This window comes from Homo sapiens, chromosome 7 (assembly GCF_000001405.40).
Source record: "Homo sapiens chromosome 7, GRCh38.p14 Primary Assembly".
In the NCBI taxonomy this organism is placed as follows: domain Eukaryota; kingdom Metazoa; phylum Chordata; class Mammalia; order Primates; family Hominidae; genus Homo; species Homo sapiens.
Genome location: NC_000007.14, coordinates 78,735,640 through 78,763,279, shown reverse-complemented (window position 1 = coordinate 78,763,279; position 27,640 = coordinate 78,735,640). Strand labels below are relative to the sequence as shown.

At 36.2% G+C, this 27,640-nt stretch overlaps 1 protein-coding gene across 14 annotated transcripts in view; it reads left to right on the top strand.

The window, feature by feature from the left end:
• Positions 1-27,640, top strand: part of MAGI2 (membrane associated guanylate kinase, WW and PDZ domain containing 2) — a 1,436,613-nt gene that overhangs the window by 690,388 nt on the left and 718,585 nt on the right. For 2 of the 14 annotated variants that reach the window (XM_017012847.3, XM_011516720.4), the window contains exon 1: positions 1,089-27,640. This exon is cut by the window's right edge. The exons of the other annotated variants lie outside the window; for them this stretch is intronic. The gene's annotated coding sequence lies outside the window, so the exon portion shown is untranslated. Of the gene's footprint in view, positions 1-1,088 lie in introns of those variants that run through there. 14 annotated transcript variants of the gene reach the window in all.

Here is a 27,640-nt window from a genome sequence, read left to right as displayed (position 1 = left end):
TTTTATTTCCTAATATATAGTTGCTACTCTGGGAATCATAAGTCTTTCTTTTATGATTGATTCATTAGAGTTTAGGAAAAGTATTTGCTAATTCCATTTATCTAAGTCAGGAGCAAAGAAATTGGTATTAAACTATTACTATATCTATTAGTAGTACATATCCCCTGAACCTGAAAGAACACATTTAACCATGACCAGTGACTGGCAGGCCTTTGATAAAGTTATCAGTTGTTCATTTCTCGTGTTTCTCTCTCCCCAAGCTATAGAATGCTCTATGTCTGAGATTGCCTGAATTAAGTTCTATTGAAGAAGGCTAGAAGTTTTTTCATACTTGTCTCAACAACCATTCTAGCCAGTGTACCAAACTAAACTGTGTTCTTTTATGCCCATGGGTATTTACCCATTTTTTTCACTGTCTGGAATGTTTTCTTCTAAGAGAATGCTAGTTATAGACACAGGTGTTCTGTATCTTTGAAGGTCACTGCCTGGATAGTAATCCTAGGAAAAATAGGTGGTTCCCCAAAACTGTTCACACATATTCATACCACATAATTTATTATGCTTTTCTAGTTACAATTCTGTTTCTCTCACTAGCTATACTTTCCCAAAACGGAGTCATTTTCTTGACTATCTTCCTATGTCCATTACCTAATAGAGGTTGTAGGACATAGTTCCTGTATATTTTAGTTATGATTTGAGATGATCCTCTTCTTGTTCACATAGCGAAAGGAAGAATGTAATGTGAGTTTTTGAAATTAAATGATTCAAAATTTCTATTTAGTTGTTTTTTGTTTTTTTTTCTTTTCTTTGTTTTTTGTTTGTTTGGTTTGTTTTGTTTTGGTGGAGTCTCACTCTGTTGCCCAGGCTGGAGTGCAGTGGTGCAATGTCAGCTCACTGCAACCTCCGCCTCCCAGGTTAAAGCAATTCTCTTGCCTCAGCCTCCTGAGTAACTGGGATTACAGGTGTGCACCACCACGCCCGGCTAATTTTGTATTTTTAGTAGGGATGGGGTTTTACCATGTTAGCCAGGATGGTCTTGAACTCCTGACCCCAGGTGATCTGCCTGCCTCATCCTCCCAAAGTGCTGGGATTACAGGTGCCAGCCACCATGCCCGGCCAAAAATCTCTACTTGTTCTTGGCAGTCTCCATTTTACTGAAGCTGAAAACAAAAGTTAATTTTACTAGAAATCAGAAATATTTTTCTCTAAGAGACTATGAAGTATCAAATGTGAGCAATGAAAGAAAATTGGGCTAAATAATTTGATACAGGAAAAATTAATTCCGGATAGAGTCCATGCCTCATGTCAGTATTTTTTGCCCAAATTCATGTGGAGAGCTCCTCATTGGTGCCCCTTCACACTCCAGCCACTATTGCAATGAGGAGGTGAGGAGAGATGTCTTATCTTTGCCTGGAGCTTCACTGTTCTGTGCATGTGGCCTATAGACCAGCATCAGCATTGCCTAAGAGGTTGTTACAAGCAGAATTTCGGGCCTCAACCTACCTTACAGAATCTGAATCTAGGTGAGGCATGATGGCTCACACCTGTAATCCCAGCTCTTTGGGAGGCCAAGGTAAGTGGATCATCTAAGGTCAGGAGTTCGAGACCAGCATGGCTAACATGGTGAAACCCCATCTTTACTAAAAATTAGCCAGGTATGATGATGGGCTCCTGTAATCTCAGCTACTCAGGAGGCTGAGGCAGGAGAATTGTTTGAACACAGGAGGCAGAGGTTGCAGTGAGCTGAAATCACACCACAACACTCCAGCCTGGGGGACAGAGCAAGACTCTGTCTCAAAAAAAAAAAAAAAAATCAGAATCTACATATTTTAACAAGACCCCCAGATGGTTCAATTCTTCATTGATGTTTGGGAAACACTATTACAGAGAACCTTTTTATGAAGTTATGGTCAATTTTGTAGACTTCAGCCTGGCTAATAACTCAGAGACAAATTATGACTATGGAAGGTTATTTCTTTTGTCAAGCTATGGAATGGAATCATTTCTCTCTTCAAGTCACCCATGCCTTGCATGTCCTGGGAAAGAGAGGGAAATGACGCTTACTACAAGTTAATATCTTACCTCTTCCCAGACCAACTTCTATTATATACACTGACTGCTAATGAGGTGTAACAGGATAGACCAGAATTGAGTCTGGCCTCTGGCCCACATTAACCATATAAAAGTTGGACAGCTTCCTTAGGTTTTTCCATCTCATTTTCCTCTTCTGTAAGATGAAAATTATAATAATTCTTGGTAAGAATGTTTTGACATTAGAGGTGGGGATGAGAAATTATCTCCTATAGCTTGGCACATTGTAGGCATTCAACAAATAAACAGACGCTGTGGCTACTGGAGTTCCTCCTGGCTCCTTGGTGAGAGTAGAGAGGTAATCTCGTTTTTCCAATATAATCTTTTAGGTGTTTGCCTCAGGTACCTCTTGGAAGTAGACACTGAGGATTTCAGTTTGTTTGACTTCCTGCCAGCTGAGTTCAAGAGGACAAGCTAATGAATACCTTATGTTTCTTGCACACACACTTACATATCGGGATAAAATATTCCTGGGGACATACAAAGCAAAAGAGGAAACTTGTGTCCCACATAATCTCTTTCTTCTTCTAATAAAACAAATTTAGGCCACTTCTCCATAAGATTGTCAAGGAAGGTTAATGTCAGAATTTGCTAGGAAAGGGGGTTACTTCGTTAGCTAAGATAGAGAAGGAACCCCATCTCTACTAAAAATACAAAAATTAGCCAGGTACGGTGGTGCATATCTGTAACCCCAGCTACTCGGGAGGCTGAGGCAGGAGAATCGCTCGAACCCAGGAGGTGGAGGTTCAAGTGAGCTGGGATCACACCATTGCACTCCAGCCTGGGCAACAAGAGCAAAACTTCATCTCAAAAAAAAAAAAAAAAAAGAGAGAATTAAAGTCCAGTTGTAGGACTCTAAGAACTGTCATTACCTGGTGGTTTTTGTTTTATCAGGGTGGAAATTTTAATACAGGAACTGTTACACCATTGTTACACTCCAGCTGACAATGTAGCCTTAAAAATATTATATAATGAAAAAAATACAGGTTATAAAAGGCAGGTGCTCTCAGAGAAACTGTTGAAAGCAATCTCCTTTATTTTCTTTCCTTATTTGTTTATTTTATTTTTTTTTTGAGACGGAGTCTCGCTCTGTTGCCCAGGCTGGAGTGCAGTGGCATGATCTTGGCTCGCTGCAACCTCCACCTTTCAGGGTTCAAGCAATTCTTCTGCCTCAGCCTCCTGAGTAGCTGGGATTACAGGCACATGCCACCACGCTCGGCTAATTTTTGTATTTTTAGTAGAGACATATTGGCCGGGCTGGTCTCGAAGTGCTGACCTCATGATCCGCCCACTTGGCCTCCCAAAGTGCTGGGATTACAGGTGTGAGCCACCATCCCCAGCCTCCTTTATTTTCTTAAAGAACTAACTTGAAAATAAAATTGAGAAACCTGCCTTAGAAAATAGGGAAAATGTGTGATAAAAGAATCACATAAAACTTACACATTAAGATACTCAACTATTAATCTGCATGTTATTTCATTATAGCAATATGAAATAAAATAATAGGTATTTTTTTCTAATTAACAATTTTTGCTCACAACTTTATATTAGCATCATTCTTTAATACAACTAATGGTTTTAACAACATGACATTCAAATTCTTACATTGAAATGAACATTGTCACATTAAATTTGCCATTTTAACATTCACATCTAGAGAAAATAAGAGATTCTAATTAACTTTTAAAAATTCTCCTTTTGGTTACACAAATTTTAAAGATTTAATACAAGGCATATCCCAACCATGCTGTGAAAAAAAATTATTTGTGATTTCATTACTTTTAGCTGTTTTCTTGGGTTTAAATGAGGATTATGTAAGCATCTTAGTGCCATGTGTCTTAATCTAGAAACAAATTTATAATTTAAAAATAAAGCAATTCATTTATATTTCTATACAAATAATTTTAGGTAGGCCAGATGTTCAAATTTGAAGTTCTAGTGTAATATTAAAATAATTATAGTTTTTTTTTATTATTTCTGACTCTGGTAGACTTGATTACTTAATATGGAGACTATTTTGTTATTTTATTGACATTAATCGCTTTAAAAATGTATTTCTGACAGTGATTTTCCCAAAAATATGTTTATATAGGTAGAGTTGTATTTGCATTCCACGAAGTCATCACTTTGTGGATGAGTGCCTTAAGCAAAGATTCAATATCTACTATGTGCCAGATTTTGGTTCGATGCTGAAGATAAAGATATATTTAGGCCCATAAGAAGCTCATAATTTAGTGTGGGAGATAGACGTGTAAACAAATTATTTGAATGTGACAGATTAACTACCAGAGTAATGCGAATATATGGGAAAGAATAAATCACTCTACCTGGGTGTAACTTAAGGTGTGGAGGAACCTACATAAGATTTTGAAGAATGAATATTACTCTTTCAATTGTAGAAGAGAATAGGATACTTCAAGGAGAAGAATTTGTATTGTCTGAGATGCATAAGGAGCATTGTTTGCCCAAAAAAATGGTGGCCTAGTCAACACAGATATGAGGCAATGTGTAGAGCAAAAAGAATGAGACCCTTTTGTGATGGAGAGGCTTCATGTGGCAAGCTCTGTGGTCATGAAGCTGTTTGTTTCTTCTCACACAGATGTGCATGTGATATGTACCTAGTTCACAATATGGAAAGAACTTTGATACATATATCATTTTTCTGAAGTACATCTAAACACATGCAAACACATTGAAGTGTGGAGACTAATCAAAGAGAAGTCCTGAAAAATGGAAATCAGAATAATCATAAGTGCACTCAATTCTGTGAATTTGAGGCTTTGAAGTTTGTTTGATTTTTAAATGGAAACCATGCATTCTATTTCTAGCATACTTCATTCGTACTACAAGTACGTATTGAATGCCTGCTATAGTTTAGGCACTGTTCCAGGTGCTTGGGATATATAATAAAACAGAAAAAAAAACCCTGTCTTGTATGAGGGAGACCAATAGGATACAAGATAACTCAGTAAAAATATATACATATTTATGTAATATTTATAATGTTAGGTGGTGATCACTACTAAGAGGAAAATAAAATAAGTAGGAAAAAGGACCGTTAAATGTCCCAAATCAGAGGAAGGGGGAAAGAGATTTTTAGAAGGGAGGCCAGAGCAGGCAATACTAAGATGACTAAGTCAAGTGTTAAGAGAAGTGAGAGAGCTATCTGTGGGGTGGAAAGGTACAGAAACCTTTGATAGAATATGCTCTGTTTGCCATGCTTATTTGTCATCCAAGAGTACTGGTCAAGTAGGCAGCTGGGTGTATCGTTCTGGAATTCAGGAGCAAACTCTATGGTAAAATGCACGTTTGGGAGTCAACTGCTTATTATAGTGTTTAAAGCCCTGAGATGAATGGCATCATCTAAGGACTGAGTGTGGAGAGAAAAGAACACTTTCTGTACTAAACTCCAGGGTGTATTTAATAGTTGAGGAGATAAGAAGGAATATGCAAAAGAGACCAAGAAGTCACACCAGAATGAGAGGAGGAAGAAGAGAGAGAGTGGTGTCCTCAAAGCCAATGAAGAAGTGCTTCAAAGAGAGAATGATCAACTGTATCAGGTGCAGCTGTTAAGTCATATAAGATGAGGACTCACTAATGTCCATTGGCTTTAGTGACATTGAGAGTTCAAGATAATAAAACGGAAATGGAGATAGAGAATTCAGATAATTCTTTTAAGTTTTATTTTGCTTTATTTTTTTGTTTTTTACCATAAAAAGAAGAAATATTTGAGAAATAAGGCAGGAGCCAGAGAGGAAAGAGGGCCAAGAGGTGGAATTTTTTTAAGCTAAATGAAAAATTTTAGCATGCTTGTGTGTTAAAGAGAATGATTTAAGAGAGAAGAGGAAATTGATGATTATGGAGAGAGAGAGAGAGAGAGAGAAGGAGGGAGAAGGAGGGAGGGAGGGAGGAGGGGAGATTTCAATGTCTTTAAGTAGGTCTTAGAGCATAAGATGCAGAGCACAAACAGAGAGGCTGTCCTCTTCCAGGAATGTGGTCTATTCATTCATATTAACAGGAACAAGGTTGCACTTATGGGCAAACAAGGAGTTAGGTGGAGAGATTTGGTGGTGGGAACTTCTAAAAGTTCTCTTCTGATTGCAGCAATTTCTCTGTGAAGAAGGAAGCAAGATTATGGTGGGAGATGTATTAGAGACTTTAAGGAGAAATGGGAAGTTCTCAAGTCTAGGAAAGTGGGAAAGGGAGTGGTCTACAGAATAATTGGCAGGTAGCTTTAAGGGCTCACTTGAAATCAGTGGTCATTTTTCTCTAGCCACTTTGAGCAATGTTGGTAAGATAAGACGACAGAGCTGGATTTAATCAAGGTTGTGTGAATGATGAAGCAAGAGGAGCAAAAAAATAAAGGTGAATACGTTAAAGTGACTGCACTGATAAATGGGAGAATTCAAGCTGGGTGGGTAAGAAATGAGGTGACAAGAGTGTGATGAGAGATCAGCATATTGAAGATCTCAGCAGGATTGAAGGGCTGAGTTGGGATTGTAGAGGACAGGAATCCCATGGTTGTCTGTTAGAAAGTATTTGATGTCAGATTCTTCCACAATACTCTTAGGTACCATGATGTCGCATCAAAGTGTCTTATTTTAAAAAGTACCCTCATTTTGTGCAAACATAGCTGCCAAATGCGTGTATTGCTGCCCATTCCCACTAATCGGTTCATTCTCTGAACAACTGGCAAAATGGCAAATGCTGCTGTTGCAGCTGCTCCTATAGTCCCAATTGCCTCCAGAGAGAAAAAAAAATAACTAAATATATTATATTAATAAATGACAGAATAAACAGTTATTTACAGTGTGTTGTTATTAATCCACATCATTAATATTACCAGACTGATGCTTGAGTTTACTTTTGCAATGATAGAACCACTTCAGTCTTTGCAGTAATTACAGTGGGGAATAATTTATGCTTACATGAATGGATCCCAGACTTGGATCCCCACTTGGCTGGCTAGAGCTCTGATCTCCTGCCTGACTCATGCCAGTGCTCTCCTTCAGGGGTAGTTGAGCTCTGCTTCTCACATCCTCCATTATCTGGCAAGCACCACCTGATATATATCTTGTTTGAGAAATGTGAATTGTGCCTGACACTGAGTGTAAGTGACCTCGAAGTTACATTCTTCCTATAGTATCCCGGAGAATTCTCACATGGATTCTGGTTGTTTCTGACACTCTTAAAATTATGATGCAGACTAATAATGGTGTTTGGGGTAATAAATAAAAAGGAAATATTTATTTAATAAAATAAAAAGCTACAACCCTCTTGCACCCACAGTGCAAAAGCTTTGGCAATAGGAGGAAGCAACACAATTTTGACAGTGCTTGAATTTTTGCTAATGGCAAATTTGTTTATTGAGCTGGGGTGTTCTATAGGGGAACATACTTATTTGGGTGATCAAACAAAAGCAGCTATACTTCCAAATTTTACATCAAACTATATGCCTTTGGCATATGAACTTACATTTTTGGCAGAATCAGGAGTTACAAGTTCCACCAACCATACCATCAACTGGTGCCTGAAATTATTTTGTCAAATCACCAGTTGAATTTCTTCATGCTGTTTGTGGATCAGACTTTCAGAGGTATTTGTCTGCTGTGTAGATACACAAGCCTTTTTCCTTGAAGACACACCTGGCCCCAAAATCATGATTTTTGTTTTCACATATTCTGGGTGCTTTTATTACATTAAATGAAACACGTATTTAAGCCCATAGACTCTTTGAAACATGCTTAAAAGTGAAATCAAAAAAATTTTCATAGAATTCAGCTTTCCCATTGCAAATATACATTAAACCACTGCGTTATATGAATGAATATTCAAAATACTCGAGTACGTATGTTTCCAAAAACAAATGAAACCAAATGATTTTCCTAAGCTGCCATAGTTACCACTGAGGCCAAACTAGAATCCAAGACTCCTAATTTCTGTCTAGTGTTTTTTTCCACCGTACATACTTACAAAAAGTTATTCTTGAGCTCAGGATCATTTAGTGTCTCTCCCGTTCTGATAAATTCTTACCCTTTCAGAAAAGCATATTTTTAAACTTCCCATCTTCAAACGCTCTGCTAACTTAAGTAATAATATGTGGAACATAGTGTAAATGATATTACTTTGGCCTGCAAAGGTTGAATTTCAGTGCATATGAAAGCAAATTCCGAGCTTTATAATACATTTTTCATAATAGAGACCATCCGTCAAGGTGAAAAAAGGCATGCTAAAGCAATGAGGGACATTAAAGCAGATAACTTGGTAACTAAAATATAAAAGGACTTCCTCAGGAAGCAGACCTGAAATATCAGGATATTTGCCTTCATTCTCTGGTGTCTTTTAATTTGTTTTAAAATTAAGATGCAAGTGGTGAAGGAAGCTGACTTAGTCAACAGAAGTGGTTAGTTTGAAAGCTGTTTTGATCCATTTTAGTGAATCGTTTAGAATTTATACTTAGGCACAAAATCTAATTTTCCAATTAATTTCACAAAAGAGATGCTTTTTATATTGATTGCCCAAGTGTGTTCCCTATTTGTGTCCAGAATATCTAATTGGCTGATGCTAACAAGCAATGTCCTTAAAGCTAATACTTGCTGCTCAACTTGATACAGTTTTAGAGCCTCTAAGAATTTTGATGTGTACAGGCTATACTCTGCAAAATCATTTTAACTTAATGTGGAAATGTCAGTGAGTCCATGTTTATCATAATGGACATTTAAAGCGTAATTTGTTTTACTTGGGCTTATTAATAACTGTTTTGTTACTAACTTTCAGCATTTATTTATTTATTTATTTATTTATTTATTTATTTATTTGAGACAGGGTCTGGCTCTGCTGCCCAGGCTGGAGTGCAGTGGTACGATCATGGCTCACTGCAGCCTCAATCTCCTGGGTGCAAGTGATCCTCCCACCTCAGCCTCCCTAGTAGCTGGGACCACAGGCATGAACCACCATGCCCAGCTAATTTTTTTGTAGATAGCAGGGTTTTGCTATGTTGCCCAGGCTGGTCCCGAACTCCTGGGCTCAAGCGATCCACCTGCCTCAGCCTCCCAAAGTGCTGGGATTACAGGCCAGTTTTAATATTTATATATATATGTACCATTTCTTGTGCTCATTTCTTCCTAAATATGCAAGTTTCCATCAGATATCAGTTTTCTCTGGCTGAAGAAATTCCTTTACCATATTTTAAAGTGTGGGTCTGTATACCACAAGTGATGATTTTTACTTAGTCTTTATTTCACCTTCAGTCTTGAAGGATACTTTTACTAGGTATAAAATTCTCAGTATAGAGTTTTTTCTATCACCCGACTTTTCTGGCCTCCATTGTCTCTGAGGAGAATTTAGCCATCATTTGTACCATACTTCCCTCTGTATAATATGTCTTTTTCTCTGTGTTGAAGTTTTCTCTTATTTATCGTTTTCAAAAAGTTGAGATTGAATTGGTTATGATTTGATTTTTTTTTTTTTTGCTAGTTAAGTGAAGCAGTGGGAGTGAAGAAAGAACAAAGAAATCCGTAACTAGTTGTAATCAGTTAGTTTGATTTGAATTTTTAGAAACTCTTCCTGCAGTTTCCTGAGATACTGGAACCTGTAAATGTATGTCTCTTAACAAATTCAGGAAATTTTTGGCTATTATGTATTTAAATATTTTTTCTGCCACATTCTTTCTCTCTTCCCCTCTTATGAATCCAGTGATCCATATGTCATATCTTTAATATTGTCTCACAGGTCACAGAGGTGCTGTTTATTTCTTTGATTTTTTTAAGACTTAAAGTTGGATGGTTTTTATTAATCTTATTTCGAATTTACTGATTATCTGGTCTATTATCTGCTACAAAGCCCAGCTAGCAAATTTTTTTTTCAGATACTAAATTTTTTACTCTTAGAATTTCTATTATATTTTCATTTGTATTTTTCTTCAGAGATTTCCTGTCTGTTTATTGATTACTATTTTCCTTTATGTCCTTGATCATAATTATAATAGCTGCCTTAAAATAACTGTTAACTAATTCCATCATACTGGTCATCTTGTGGTCATTCTCATTGATTTCTTTTATTCTTGAGTATGAGTGATATTTTCTTGTTTCTTCATATGTCTCATTCTGTCCTGGATATTATTTTGCTTTCTGTTGTGTCTTCTGAAAAATGTTTATTTTTTGTTTTAGCAGGTGGTTAATCCCTGAAATTTCTAAATGAGTGACATGTTTAAAAGCAGGCATGTCTAAATTCTGTCTTATCTATAGTAGGCAGCAGCTAAAATATTTGAGCCTTTTTAACTTTAACCAGGCTGCCTGGACTCTGCATAGACAGAGGTAGTTCAGGACTTAGCCAGATATTTGGACAGAATTTAAATGCAGAATTTGAGGCTGCCCTCTGTGGCTCTTTCCTTTCCAGACAAGAAAGAGAAAAGGAGACCTTGGCAGCTGGGAGCTAGCCTGGCATTAACAGGTGGGCCTTGATGTTGTTAGAAGTTAGCCAGGCAGTCACAATAGGCTGTGGTATTCCATTACACACTAAAAAAATTATCAGAATACATTTGTTAGACAGGGTCTTTCTGTGACTATGATGAGATTTTATTTTTTTGAGATGGAGTCCTGCTCTGTTGCCCAGGCTGGAGTGCAGCAGTGCCACCTTGGCTCACTGCAACCTCTGCCTCCCGGGTTCAAGCAGTTCTCCTGCCTCAGCCTCCCAAGTAGCTGGGATTACAGGTGCACACCACCATGCCCAGCTGATTTTTGTATATTTAGTAGTGACGGGGTTTCACCTTGTTGGTCAGGGTGGTCTCGAACTCCTGACCTCAGGTGATCCACCTACCTCGGCCTCCCAAAGTGCTGGGATTACAGGCATGAGCCACCAAGCCCAGCCTCTGTGACCATGATGAATCAAGACAAAAAGATCATTCTATCATCATGTTCAAAAACAGACAAAATCAAGAACATTATCCAATCCACAAGAATGACTAAACTTCCCCTCTGCTGCTGATATAAGCAACTGCTACTTCTTTAGCAGTCTTTAGATAAGAAATAGTAAGATACCCAACCACAGAATTACTTCCACTTCTTACCATTGAATTCAGAGCAAAACACTGCTTCCTTGAAGAGTCCCCAAAAGAACATAACACAAGCCCAAATTCTAGCATATATCAGACTCACCTTGTTTCCCTGTGGTATATGTTCTTCCTTGTTTTCTGGTGATCTTTGATTGAAGGGTTATGACACAGGATTTCCTCCTCTACTTTCTACTGTCTGTAGTAGACTATAAGTCTGATCTCTCATTGTTCAAGCCATAAAACAATAGAACTTCTATGCAACTTCAAGCCATTCTGCATGGTGCCACACGTGTGTCTGCCCTGTGGCAAAAAATTAGAACACTGGGATACTTACCTGGTGCCATTACCTTTTTTCTAGTTTCTGTGTACTTTTGGTTGTTTCCCAGTGCTTCCAGATAATCATATATTATAGTTTGTCCTGAGTTGATAGTTGTTATCTCCAGGAAATTGTTCTGTTGTGAATTACTTCACCATTATCAAAAGCAGAAATTCCCTTTGTTGCTGTTAAAATATATTACTTGGTATCATGCAGTCTGTTCCTAAGGTGGGCAATCTTTCTGTGATACCACAATTGAGTAGTAGCCATCATATTTCATTGCAGTAGGGAAGCATTAAATTGTAATTGCTAAATGAATAAAGTAATCTAAATTTGGAAGCTTGAGAGGGCCAATTAGGTCATTCGTGTGAGGTTTGCTGGACTTCTGTCGTCCTTTTGCTGAGCGTGAGTCAAAAGACTTCTCTAAACAATACAATTACAAGAACGTGTTTGTCCATTTCCAAGTCTAATTTTAGGAATAATGTGAAAGTTTCATGGATGAAAATCATTACAATATGTGTATTGATCTGGCCTGTAATTATTTTGCTGGAAAATATTGAAAAATTTCTAACCAGTGCTTTTGGGGAAATACTTTGTCATTAGAACAACAATGATGCCTTGAAATTAAAGTTGACGTAATCATTAATTTTCTGAAACTTTTTACAAAGTTTTGTACTTAGCCATTATATATCAGGGAACAAGTGGTTATCTCATTTCTTATGGGAATCAAGACCTCTAGAAGCATATTCTTTTTCTCTATCATTTAAAGTCCAGTGTATTTCTCCCATGGGTTAGATTTGTCTGTGTTCTGTCTAGAGAGACAAATCTTTAACATTATTTACTCTTAGGATTTCTCTCTAACTTATGAGTAACATACATCATTATTCATATAGACAAGATGTGAGATTTGGAAATACTTTTGTGTTTCTTTAGCCATTGGATTATATTGATGTAAAATTTAAGTGCTTTCTTGTTTTTCATTATATCTGTCGTATATCAGCATATTATAGAAACCTTTATAACACTTCTTTAGAAGTGTGAATATTGCTTTGCAAGAGCGAAAATTTAATACTAAACCTGCCCTCCAGCCTCACAATTCTCCCAACATTCCTATGATTTCTCTAGCCCACCATATCTGTTCTCCAGAGGAAACACTGCTGCCCTCCACAGTTTATCTTCCTAATGTATTTGCTTGTGTTTTTTGTTATGTGTATTGTCTGACTCCCCCTACTAGAATGCAGGATCTGGAAAGAGAAGTGCCTGTTTTGTTTCCAGAAGTTATCTTGTAAGACAGGAGCAGTCTTGGCATATAAAAATTGCTGTCAATTCGTTAGTTCAACCATTGTGGAAGACAGTGTGGTGATTCCTCAAGGATCTAGAACCAGAAATACCATTTGACCCAGCAATCCCATTACTGGGTATATACCCAAAGGAGTATAAATCATTCTACCATAAAGACACATGCACACGTACACACATATGTTTATTGCAGCACTGTTCACAATAGCAAAGACTTGGAACCAACCCAAATACCCATCAATGATAGACTGGTTAAAGAAAATATGGCACATATACACCATGGAATACTATCCAGCCGTAAAAAAGGGTGAGTTCATATCTTCTGCCAGGACATATATGAAGCTGGAAACCATCATTCTCAGCAAACTAACACAAGAACAGAAAACCAAACACTGCATATTCTCATTCATAAGTGGGAGATGAACAGTGAAAACACATGGAGATGGGGAGGGGAACATCACATACCAGGGCCTGTCGGGGTTGGGGGCTAGAGGAGGGATAGCATTAGGAGAAATACCTAATGTAGATGACAGGTTGATGGGTGCAGCAAACCACCATGGCACGTGTATACCTATATAACAAGCCTCCGTGTTCTGCACATGTATCCCAGAACTTGAAGTATGAAAAAAAATTCTCAATATGTATTTCTTAAATGAATGAAGAAAAATTGTTTATATAAATCAAATTTTTCTTTGGAGGAAGTAGCAGGAGTTCTCCCTGCCTCCTTCCTCTCTCTCTTCCCTTTAAACTATCTGCCAGCATCATCTATATAAAGCACAGTCCAGGTCTTTTTTAATCTTTCCTCAAAAATCTTTAACATCTCCCCAGTGCCTATAAAATAAAATCCAAACTCCCTAGCTTGGCATTTGAGGCCCTCTGCAATCTATCCTTATTCTGCCAACAATTTCATCAACCAACGCTCCCCTTATGCTTCAGCTCTTTCCAGTGTGATCTTTGGGCTTTCTTTCTCATTGACATGTTTAAATGTCGTCTTTGTTTTGTGGCCTATGCTGATTACCTTATTTCTAATGGAAACCACATTCCCCATCTCCCTTTCCTAGATTTCCTTTTCTCCACGTGCTTATTACCTTCTAATATACCATATGATTTACCTACTAATTACATTTATCTTGCTTCCTCCCGAAAACATAAGCTCCATGAAAACACGACTTTGTGCCTGTTATGGTCTCTTTAATATCACCACTGTTTAGAATAGTGCCTTGCCTCTATAGCTTGGACACCTTTTCCCTCTACTTAGATTTCCCTTCCCTGAACTCCATGTATGTAAATCCTACCTGTTTGCCAAGGCTTAGCTTCAGTGCTATCTCAGCTGAAAAACTCCCCCACTCCTCTGAACTTGGGTGAAGATCATTTCTTCTTCTCTGAACATTGGCATCATTTAACCAGAAACTGCTTTTATATTGTTGAAAAACTGTTTTCTTGCTTGTATTTGGCTATTTATGTGCATTTCTTATCTCTCCCACAACCATGCCTTAAAAATAGGTTTCACCACTAGCTCATCTTTACAATTTTAGTAGTACTTAGTACTCCATGTATGTAGTAAATGCTTGACAAATATGTGTTGAATAATAGCAGCATGAATATGCTTACACAGAACTTTCTAAAGAAATATATGAACAAGATTCTTGAATTATGCAAAACCCATGTGAAAAGGTATTTTGATTTTTGAGCTTGATTATTTTCGGGGAAAATCCAATTATGTCTTAAACTTAATGGAGTGAAAATATCCAATAAGAAAAAAAATGTATTTGAAATCTTTCATTTTATATTCAGAACCCAGACTATGTCCTATCGATATCTTTTTTACATCAGAGTAATTTCCTTCTTTCAAAGCATTTGTGCCATACAAATTGTTTATTCACAAACTAATGTCATGTCCAGCTACCCGAAATGGTTTGTAATTTAATTAAGGAAAATATAATTAAAGACACAAATAACATAGGATTTATATCAAGCAGTAAATGTAGATTTGCTGTCACTTGGGTTTTACACTTTTTCATAGTGTATGTCTTGGCATTAATGAATCACCTTATATTAAACAGAATTGGGAGCGATAATAGGACTGCGCTCATAAGACAGAAGACTGAAAGCAATTTGATGAGGATCTTATCCTTCTTTCCTTTTTATGGAATTCCAGAAAAAACCTCTATCACTGGATTATAGTTGATTTCAAAAGTTTCTTTTACAGTCATTTTCCTTATATCCATGGCCAATTACCAAACTAAAAATGGCTCCCTCTGTTCTATATGAAAGTTTCATAATTCCAAAGTTCAATATTCATCACTAAGTCCTCAACGAGGGAAGATTTGAATACTTGTTTTAAGAAAGTTTTTTTTTTTTTTAAATCCTCAAGGTAAAAGTATTTTCAAAGTAATCAAACCTGGGCTTACTCAGTGGAAAAGTGGTAATTAGTATGGTCTCTTTTGTGAAGCTGGTTAAAAGCTGATGTTAAAAGAAATTATAACTCTGATAGAATTATGCTCAAAGTGTTAAGTGAATGTGTCTCAGAGAATCATTGATATTGAGTGCATATAGTACCACAGAATTCTGAAGTTATGTCAGTGGAGTAGCCATATGGTGGTATGTAATAAAATGTAGTTTCCAAACTCTTCACGTAGAAACTTACAGTCTTGGCTCACACCAGGAGCCCCCTCCCTTTCCACCTGTCCCATGAAAGCCTTTGGCAGGAAAACAGGCCCTGTGCTAACTCCCAGGGACACATATTCATGCTTGTTTTCTTCAGTTCTGTGCCCAACCTCACTCAGTCACCACGGATGCAGCTTTGAGTAAAACAGACCAAACCTTCTAGTGAGATCAGGGCTGGTATGACAGGGAGAGATTCTGCGTTAGTTGAGCAGCTCCTAGGAGAGTGGACTACTCTCCCTTGATTCTTAAACTTACTGAGGAGCAGTATTAGGATATTTTACCAGCACAAAATTAGATATCCCTTAACTTCCTTTATTTGATTTTTTTTTTCTGGTTTAGTCGACTATGCTTGCAATTGGTAACCTCTTGTTAATGGATTCTGTTTCTAAGGGTTTTATCACCTCATCTGATACCTAAAATGTCTGGAGCACAATGACATTCAATAAATATTTATTGTGTCTATGAACAAACATGAATAAATGATTCAAATAATGCATTTCTTATATGACTCTTTCCACTGGTTTAGATAAAAACCAAAGATCTTTGGTAGTAGAATTATACTATTTTTAGGTTCAGCTCATGCCTTATGGGATCACTATATAAAACCGCATTATTTAATCCCTTTTGAGAGAAATCAATAGTACCAGGTCAGTATTATAAAGATAGCTTATTTGCATTGCTACCACCTTGCCAATTGCACAAGCCACGAGAATTCTGAAAATTAGGAAAACTGCCCAATTTAAGCATAGTGAATATTATCATCAACCTGGCGCTGACCTGGCTGGCTGTGATGCGTATGTGCACTTGGTATATTTCCTCTGATCTATCATTTGGACTCCCTTTTTGACAATTTGAAGGTCTTAGAAATTGATTAGTGGTCTTTAAACCACAGTGATCAACAGTGGCAAAATAAAACACAATAATAGTTATTTCATCTTTTATTGTAATCAGGAAAAATTAGATATTTCCATGCCAGATTATAGTTTATGCATTTAAGTGTTCTTATTTTTCCTTAGTGAAAGTGGAGAGAATTGGGGGTGGGAAGCACATAATTAATATGCTTTGTAAAAAAAACTAGAAAACTCTCAGACTAAATCAAAACCTGATACCTGTATAAAACATTAAAACCTGTACTTTGGAACAATGTGCTTTAAAAACAAATTGAGGTGCTAGTGGCATGGAAGAAAGTCCAAATGCAAATGATGAGGAGACAGCTATGAAATGTAGGTTGGTTGGCTGCAGTTCTGCCCATGAAGCACTAGCTGGCATTAGTATGAAATTTAAATTCACTTCTGTGCTGGTGATTGCCTCTTTGGAACTCATTAAACATTCTTTGGCATCAGATTTTAGACTGAGTAAAGCCATAGAGCATGATCCAGGCAGAAATTAACCTCAGGGCCTATAAGCTCCTGTAACTGAGCAGCTAAGAAGTTGATGTTCTGTCCCGGAATAAGATTCTCAGAAAGGGTGGAGCTTGAGAGGGAGCTTAGAGTTCAAATCTCACAGCTGGAAATCAAGCCAAGAGCAGTGTATTTGACTTCGTTAGTATTACTGCTCTTTTGGTTTGTATGCTAATCTTTTGAGCTTCATCATTTCAGTTTCTGCCTGAGAGCTGGCTCTTCAAAAACTTTAAGTGAAATGACAGTCTACAAAATTGCTCTTTGAGAACAATTAAACAAAGTCAGGAGGCATGCAATATTTTTAGCAATGGGTAAAAGGGATCATTTAATTATGACAAAGTGAAGCTCATAGTCTTCAGAATTGTTTCGACAGATCTGATTGTTATGTGACAAGTTTTGGATGGTGGCTGGTTTCTACAGCCTAGCTGAGCTCAGATGGTATATAGAGGAAATATTGCCAAGATAATGAATGAGAACTTAGGAGCTATACGGAATTACTCCTGACAAGACAGTATTTTCTTTCTGTTCAACAGGTGACTGCAGAAGAGATCCATTGAAAAATTACATTAACTGATACCACTATCAACTCATAAAGCAGGATAGGGAGAGTAAGACAATACTCAAAGAAAAGATGCCTAGAATACCAAGCAAATGATTTTCTGAGTATCCCAGTAATGTTGTATTCACTTCTTGAAATAAGGGAAATAGTAAGTGGTCATTAATAAAATAAGATAAGAAGTGATATCTTTAATTAAATGGGCAACTTGTTCTTATTACAGCTGTTCTGACTGATTATGATTAACTGCCAATTCTGAGACTTGACTCATTAATTCTTCAGTGTACAGGACTTAGGAGCAGAATATTGCATGAGACACAACTTACCAAATCCTCTGGAAATAACGTTGTTGTTGTTTTTTTTTTTAAATCAAGATCAACTATATTTCAATTATTAGAAAGCACACACCTTGACCACCTTGACATGTGGAGAGAACAACACACAGATTTGGAGTAGCTATGATGCAAATCAGGATAGTAGAGTTGGGAACAGAAAGCTTGCCTCATATTGAAGGACCAGCAGGAGTTGGGCCTCTGCTCTCACCTCTCATTGAATCTTTTCACTGGTACTGTGGGAAATGCACAGGCCTTGCAATCAAACTGCAGAGGTTCAAATCTGAGCTCTACCGCTTAGCAGCTGTGGGCATTGTGGTACATTTTTCATTCCAGTTGAGACTTATTTTATATGTAAAATGAGGCTGAAATAACAAACCAATAGGATTGTTATGAAGTATGCATGAGAAGAAAAAAGCACAGGATTAAAGTTCTGGAGTCAGATAGTCTGGGTTGTAATCTTGGCTCAAATGTTTATAAGTTGGTTGACTTGGTGCCTTTGTTTTCTTGGGTAAAATGCAGAAGTTCTCTTGGTCCTGTGCTGTAGCGTTGAATAATCGTGTTAATGTTTGTTAGGCACCAGAGCCATCCTGGTACATAGTCAGCTCTAACTATTATTACAAACAGGACCTGGGAAAATACTTAACATATTGTAAATTCTCAATAAAAGGAAGCTGTTGTGATTACTGTGGTTTGTTTCTGCTATTAGTTCCTATCCGGAAGCACTATGTTCTTGATTTTTGCATGTCTATTTTTTCTATTTAGCCTATATGACTAAATTGTCTGTAAGTTTTAAAACCAAATCACTGCTAAAGTTTAAAAGTGAAGGCAGGAGTATTGTCCTCCTTGCATACTGTGATATTAATCCAAAACAGTACTTAAAATAAAAATTTACCTATTAAGCACAAATCTATAAGTAGAAGAGATTTTTTTTCCTTCACTTCATAGAATTAGACTCATGCAAAGTTCCCAGCAGTCACAACTTCATACAAACCACAACGAGAAACAAGGTACCAAATTAAATGAGATACGTTTTTTTGTTAGTGGGACTAGCAGGGAATGAAGAAACCAATACTATGTTTTAATATTTAAACAATTAAATTCATATTCCATAAGATGAATCAACCAGATTAATAAGAAAATTTGCAAATGAAACTAAATGTGGAATTCCTGGAAAATGCCAGTAAAAACAGAAATTAGCCAGTGAGGTAAGAAGTTAAAAATGAGATAAACAAAAAAATTCAAATGGGATGAAAACTAATGATACTAAACAAGGATGATATTGCTATTCAAATAAGATAAAGTTTAATGGTGACTATTTTTTCTTTATAAAATTAGCGTGGAAAAAATTTGACTCATTCATAAAGAAATTCTATGACGAAAGAGGATATCAATGGGTTTTTTGACCTCTTGAAAATATATCTTTATTGTTTTTACCTACTCATGTTAAAAAAATACATACATAAATGTATGGTGATTTAAAAGACAAAAAGAAAATTAAATTTTAGCATTTCTTCTCTTTATGTAAAGTAATTTTCTAACATTTCAAGTTAAAGAAGGCTCATGCTCTTTAGATTGACAAAAATAAATACTCATACACAAAAAGTAGATTAAAAAGAATGTGTGATCAAAGAGGAAGTTAGGGGCTTCAAAGTTTCAGATAGAAGGTTAGACTTTTCAGACAGAAGGAAAAAAAATGGAATGGTAAGAAGGCCTTCCCAGAAATGGTTCATTGGAATAGAGAACTGTTCAGTATGGAGATTAAAAATGGAAAAACAGATTTCCTTCACATTGTCTTTCAGAGGCTGATGAGTCTTTGAAAAACAGAATTGTTCACCTATGCTTATAAAGCCTTTTGGTGCATGACCATGCCTGTAGACACCTCTCCATTTTTTCATTTAACAAATATGGATTTATGCTTAGTATGTGACAGATATTATATTACAGTCTAAAGACACAAAGAAAAATAATACCTGTCATCAAGGAGGTTACAGTCCAGTAGAAGAAATGGGCATGCAAAAATAAAGAATTAGATCTCATAATTGGAGTACTAGAAGTGCAAAATGTACTGCAGGCACAAAAGAAAGAACACTTAACCCTTTCTGGCTGTACCAGGGAAGATATTAAAAGGTGTGTCTTGAACAAGGAAGGTTCTTTTTTTGGTGAAATGCTTTGCATTTTTATTGTACGATTCATTGTCTCATTAGCTAAACCATTTAGCACTTGTGTAGTGCTTCACAGATTACAAAGTGCCTTCAGACACATTAAACATAAAGTACATTTTATTAAACAGTAGTTCCTTTTTAGGCATTTTGATTGCAGCTTATTGATTTTGTCTTTATAGGCACTAGACCTATATCTCTATAGGGTTCTAGTAGAGGAGGGGATGTTCTAGTTACTATTCCTGCATAACAAATCACTTCAAAACATAATGATTTAAAACAGCGATAATCATTTCATTATTTCTCATAATTTCTGTGGGTCAAGATTTTGAGAAGCACTTGGCTGGATAATTCAGACTCATGATCACTCACACAGTTGTGGTCCCACTGACTGGAGCTAGGACAAGAGAGGGCTGGAGCAGCATGGGCTGGCTGAGAATCTCTTTGTCTGCATGTTGTGTTAGGGCTTCTCCATGTGGTCTGACCACATGGGTTAGTTTGGTCAGAGGCCACCATGCTGTGGGGAAGCCCAATCAGACTACTTGCATCCTGGGTCAGGGTCCCTTACCAGCAAGGTGGAAGCTGAATCGATTTTTCTAGCCTTATTTTGGAAGTCACACTGCATCAGTTGAGTCACTATCTATTGGTCACAAGCAAGCTACAAATTTAAGAGGAAGGGAACTAGATTTAACTTCTTGATGGATGAGAGGCAAGGTTCTAGAAGAACATTTGAGATAGGGGATTTTCTTGTGGGCATCTTTGGAAAATACATCTTTACATCTTCATTCAAGCTTTGAGTAAATAAATTATTCTTCTTTTAACAAAGATGGCATGGGATCTTATCAGAAAATTATCCAAGCCAGAGGGAAATTACTAAATTTTACCTGTTTTTAAACTGAGTTTTAAAATTTCAGTACCTGCCACTTTCTAACAAAACAGATAAAAACACGATAGGATAGATAAGAAGAAATTAATTTGGCAAGGAGGAAGGATTTTCTGACATGCTTAGCCATTGACCCTTAGAAGAGGTTACCACAGGAAACAGAAGAATCAGTTTCTCTGGAGGTTAAAAACTGATGGTAGAGGAATTCTGTGAATCTCACTTGTTGTCAGTGTAGTCCCAGCTGGAGGAAAGAGAGAGATTGGTAACCTTTTTAGGCCTATTCTTCTGAATTCACAAGGTATAGAGAGATTGTCTGGGTAACCTTGGAAAGGTCTTTTGGTCAATTAAAAGGCTTGTTTTTATATTATGTATTTATTTCTTTATCATTCATTCTTTATTTTGAGCACTATGTTTCATAAAAAAAAGTTCCAATTTTCTACATGTACGGTTCTACCCAATGCAATTACCAAAAGGGCTTTCCAGATCCTGATTACTGTCCTTTGATAATAACTAGATAACTAGATGATTAATTTCTAGTTATTAATCAAAGGACAGTAATCAGGATTATTAGGATAATTATCCTTCGTGATAACTTATAATTTAAGGCATTTTTTTGGCATGACTGACAAGGCAAGTAACAGATTATCTATGGATGATAGTTTTGTGTTTATAAGTGCATTGGTATCTATATGTATAGGTCGTCATATAGAGAGGTTAAGTGGTACCAAATATTTTGCTTTACTTGCATTATTTGATTTGATTTTAAACAACTCTAGTATAGTTAGTATCCCTATTTCACAGTTGATATAAATAAGGCAGACAGAAGTTAAGTAACTTGTCCAAAGTAAAGAGGCAAAGCTAAGATTTAATCAAATTCCACTAACTCTAGAGCCTCACTGCTGAACAAGGTACTGTACTATTTATTATTAACAGTGAAATGAGTACTCAATCTTCCTTTCTAAGTTTCTACTGTATTTTCAAATAAGTCTGCAGTCTGGAATTTATAAATCAGAATCCCTCAATGTCATTAAAGTATAGGCCAGATGCTCCTTTATCTGGTATGCAAGGCCTTTTATGATCTAACCCCCCTCCCGTGTGTGTGTGTGTGTGTGTGTGTGTGTGTGTGTGTGTGTGTGTGTGTGTGTTTCAACTTTTTTCTTCTATTCCTCCAAAACAGGCCTCTCTGTTTTGTTCTAGCCAAATGGGTAGTTCTCATGCTGTTTCTTCTACCAGACACTGTCACCTCACTCTCATTACGTTCTTTCTAGTATTTAAACCTGTTTGAAAGCTGTCTCTTCTATGAAGCTTCTTAGATTACCCAACAAGAAGATATTTCATGAGAATTCCTATAGCTCTTACTTCCTGTATGACTTGTGAGAAATTTGTCAATGTTATAATTGCTGTTTATGTGTATAGAATCTCCCCAATCAAGTTAAAAACTCCCGGATGGAAAAAAAATGGCTGCATTCTTTGCTTTTTTTCTATCTTCAAATCCTGGCACAGTGTGCCACAAATCTACACTTTTTTCGATGTTGATTAAGTAGTCTAACTTCCTTGTAACCAATTTCTGTCTGAATTGGGCGGCATCATTCTCTATTTCCAAGGCCTGTTCTTGAGAATAATATTCTTCTCAGGTTTAAAATAATATTATAATAATTATGTGACTAAAAACTTTTGAGAAAATGTTGCTATTAGCATGGGGGTGCTTTCTTTGTTTGCTTTCACATATCCTTATTCAGTATACATTTTAATGACTCTAGGATGCTCATTCTGTCAGATAAAGAACATAATTAGGTATACTTTGTTTACACAATTGAGCAAAAAGAGTCTGGTCTGAATTACTTAATTGACTGGTCTCTAGTATCAGTGATGCTAAAAACTGAACTGAATTTCTGAGCATAATTCCCTAGCTGCTTGTGCTTTTTTCTAGGACTATAGATTGCACACCTAAAACTGGACAGTCATCTGACATAACTGTGCTGTTATTTAATGAGACAATCAGACAGTACAAGTACCATCGCTTCTGTATACGAAGGAAGATAATACTGCGATTAAAGATTTTGAATGTTAGTCCTAGAACTCAAAACTTGACTCACATCCCATTTCTGTTACTATTTAGCAAACAAGATTAAACTATTGTCCATTTACTGATAACCTACTTTGCTGTAAAAAAGATTTTAACAATTTTATAAATATATCAAGGTATGTACTGTAACAAGAAAACATCAATTTTAACCAAATGGCAAAGATGAGGTTAGGTGATAACAAGGATAAGGGAATAAAAGAGACCCCAGAATAAGGCCAGTAATAGAGATAGATGTCAGGTTATCATACAATATTTGTTTTTTGTTTTTTTTTTTTTAGACAGAGTCTGGCTCTGTCACCCAGGCTGGAGTGCAGTGGCGCGATCTCGGCTCACTGCAAGCTCCACCTCCCGGGTTCACGCCATTCTCCTGCCTCAGCCTCCCGAGTAGCTGGGACTACAGGCGCCCGCCACCACGCCCAGCTAATTTTTTGTATTCTTTTTAGTAGAAACGGGGTTTCACCGTGTTAGCCAGGATGGTCTTGATCTCCTGACGTCGTGATCCGCCCGCCTCGGCCTCCCAAAGTGCTGGGATTACAGGCGTGAGCCACCGCGCCTGGCCAGGTTATCATACACGCTTACTAAGAGTGGGCTGCACATTTCACTCTGCTTACCGACGTGAAGAGGGAAACCCGTTCAAGTTCATTGTCAGTTTTACTGATTTGCGGCGCCTATTAAAAACAAACCATTTGCCGAGGAGGTGTGCGCCTACGTAGAGAACTAAGAAATTGCTTTCACGAGGCTTTAAGAAGAAAACACCGTTTAAGCCCTAGGAATGATTCTGGGTAATAATTATAAGCCAATAGAAGCTTTTTCAACTAAAGAATTTTAAAGATAAATTAATACTATTTTTGTTAGAGGTAGTGATTTTGCTTTCTGTCATGTGCTCGTGTTTCCTACATGGGCAACTTATGACTTCTCTGTTGATCTATCTGGTTTCACAGTGCTAATCTTCTCCAAAACTCCAGAAAAATCTCTCATTTCAGTAGTGGCACCTCGTTCTATCACCACATTCTCAATTCTACCATTGCCTTCAGAATGGCACTTAAAACATTGGCCAGCTTGCCTTATCTTTGTTTCTAAGTTTCTATCACGCTGCCAGCTACCTACCCGCAACCCCAACTGCTCTGCATTCCTATATTCAAGTTCGGTGTTTGACGACCTTTGGCCAGAGATGTTTTTTGCCATGGATTTGGGGCTGTAGAAATGGCTAAAAGAAAGCTCTCCCCTCAACTGAAACATAGCAGCTCGACTTTTCTCTGTTTTGTTGATTATAATTCCATATATAAATTCACTGAGGGGGAAAAAAGCATTCACCTGCCTTTAAAAAATTAATACTTGAAAACAATCAATGCTCTCTGAAGTCCCTTTGAGGTGTAGACACTGAAAATGAGATCAGCTAAACTGAGTATCTCTTTTCATGCATTGTCCAAATTAGTTTTCTGTTTCCTAGATTCTCTATGTTTGTGCTACCTAAATTTATTCTTGCTTTGAGCTGTAAGCACATGCAGTAAGTATTTTAATGAGTTATGTATCTATATTTTTCTTTTTCTTATGTAGTTTCTTCTTTCTTATTTACTCACTTTGGCTGCCATGCTACAGATTTCTTCACCCTTTCTTTTTATTCTTCCCCCAAAAGAAATACATGATCTTCCATCTAAAGGACAATCGTTTGTAAGCCATATGAGACATTCTTCAACAACACATTTCACACATTTATTTTATTCTCAATATTGAAGTTGAGCCATCCTTTTTTCATCATGAACATCCTCCTTTAGAGTTCACTGGGTATGAAGCTGGAGCAACTGCTAATAAATTCATTACACCATCCTTAATCATACCAATATCATAAAATGCACCCTTTGAAATATAATATTAGCCTGCAGTTTTATTGTGGCAGGAAAGACTAATGATTTGTTAGCAAACTAAGCAGAAAGATATCTTGACAATGGAAAATAAAGGGCATCAATACCATAATGTGACTTGTTTAGGAAGTCAAATGTTTTTACCTGAAATAACATAAATTACCCTAAATTAGAATTATATCTGTAGAAATAAAATTAAGTGCCTGTATTACCAGAAAAAAAAGTCTTAAAATATTACATCAAAAAGTAAAAGAACAGATTTTCAGGCTATGACAATTCTTAATTTAATTGAACAGATTCTTAAAGCATGAATCACTTTTCCTCTAATACTACATCCCCAGTCTTTCAAGAAAACTTGCAGGTACATGGAGGAAATTGCTTCAGCCCTCTGTGACTTAAATAATAGTCATAAATGTGACTTAAAGTATCTTAATATGAGATATGCATATATTATATAGTTTATGAAAGTCTGAAATTAATTTACAATAATAATAAACTTATGGTACCAAAGCTTTTTTCTGTTAGAGAATAATTCCTCTATTTTTTGGAAATTTCAATCTCTGAAATTTATTTGTAATGAAATGTATTGCAGTTAAGTGGGAAAGGCATGGCCTTTGGGTCAGAGTAAGCAGGGTTTTAATATTTTCTCCTTACCACTAAGTGATAGCCATTCTCAAATGTTTTGGTTTCAGGTGCACTATTAAAAATTATGAGGACCCCAAAAATATTTTTTTAAATGTGGGTCATATCTGTTAATACTTACTATGTTTGAAATTAAAACTCAACTACTTTAGAAATATTTATTCATTTACAATAACAAGCCATAAAAAAACAATTTTTATGAGACATAACTATATTTTCCAAAACAAAAAATAGTAAAAAGAATGTATTATTTTATATTTTTTGCAAACTTATTTAATTTCTGGCTTCATAGAAGACAGCTGGATTCTCATATCTCTTTCTACATTCAGTCTGTTGCAATATGTTATATTGGTTGAAGTATATGAAGAAAATCTGCCTGACACAGATATGCAGTTGGAAAAGGAAGGAGTATTTTAATACCTTTTTAAGTAATTGTGAATATTCTTTAATGCTACACCAAAACTTTGATTAGTGGTAGTTTCTTAAAGGTTAGTTGCAATGTAGAATCGAAAACCATATCAATGAACCTTTATTTTTTGTACTCAGTTAAATTTAATTCCAATGGTGTATCTTGCATTTTGAATGAATCTTTTTTGCATGCACGAGTTTGTAACATCATGCATTGCTCATTGTTTCACTGAATTATGCCAATCTTTCTAATGTTGACACATTTATAACAGTTACCTCTTTAATTTTGCCACTCTTTTCCTCAGAGAAGATTTTATATATTGGGAAGCTTATCAAATGGGCAGTGGCAGATAAAAGTTTCCCCAAATTATAATTTAGCTCTAAAGCTCAAATTTTATTGGTAACAATCACTGTCAATTGTTTTCTTTGAAATGTCAGGTTTACTTTATCTTCAAGAAAATGTCTGCCAAATACTCAAGTCTGAATAGCCATAGTTTATCTGTCAGTCATTCATTCAAGTAAAAACAGTACTTCATGCACAAAGTGTCTAGTTCAGCTTGCAACTCAAACAATTGCACAGGTGCTTTCACAAACATCATATTTAGGTATGAAGTAAGTTACTTGCATTTTTCATTTTGTCACATGGAATATTAAAAAGATATATAATCAAGAATTATGATTTAACATTTTTTTTACTGTTTGGTCAGGGACATTCTTAAAAGACTTCGACACTCTGACACTCCCCCCACCCCCAGTTTTCTGGCAGTGTACTGTTAGCACAGCTGATGCTGCCACTGCCTTGATTTGTGATAAGGTACCAGCAGTTATACTTGCCACTGCTTCTGTACCAGCATGCAAATATCAACATAGAAAAGGGAGGACAATAAAGTATTAGTATTAATACTATTATGAAATTGATTTTGACCTAATGAGCCCTCTTCAGGTTCTTAGGGACCCTCAGGGGTCTACACACTACATGTTAAGAACATCTATTCTAGGGTTATGACCTCTTTAAGATTGTTGCCTCACTAATGAAAATAAGAATAATGATATATGCATTGCATATTGTTTGGACATTTAAGTCTGGAAGTATGGTTCTTAAAAATGTAAGTTTCTGTTCCTTGTTTTCCAAATATTAACCTCTGAACAAAGCCAGTATTTCTTCAGGCAGAGCGTCGCTAAAGTAATGTTAGTTATTCTTACGTTTAGAATATGAATCTAATCTGTTAAAATATATCTCTAAGTTTCTTTTATAGAAAAAAACTGTTATTAGATACTCTCTGGAAAACTAATTGGTGTATTTTCTCACTTTGGAAGAATTTCAGGAAGTGTATTTAGAGTACCAATTTAACTGAATATGTGATTCTTTTCAGGTATTGGTACATTTGATATTCATTGGTTATGTGAGATGGTTTATCAATATGTGATCTTATCTCTCTTTGTGCTTATTCATGAATTCGTATAATATTTCACGTCTTCTTCCTATTAGATCTTGAGCATCTTGACTCAAAAATGTGTTTTCAGAACATCACTTAGTACACAGTACTTGATCAATAATGATTGTTATGTTTATAAGGAACCTATTTCCTCCCTATTACCTCACACACATTCGGTCTACTTTCTTGTACAAATTGTTGGTTGTATACACTAGAAAGACAAAATTTCTAATATTAAGCTAAGTGAAATGGTGTTTTAAAAGTAAATCTATTAGATTGGTGCACATATGTGCATTTATAGTATGGTTTAGGTATGGGACCTATAAACCCTTGAGGCTGCTCTCCTCCATTTCAGATAATCAGATTAAACATTTTAAAGGAAAATAAATCAGAACTCATTTAGGTTTATTTAAATTTATTAAAAGTTCACCTAACACACAAAGGCACT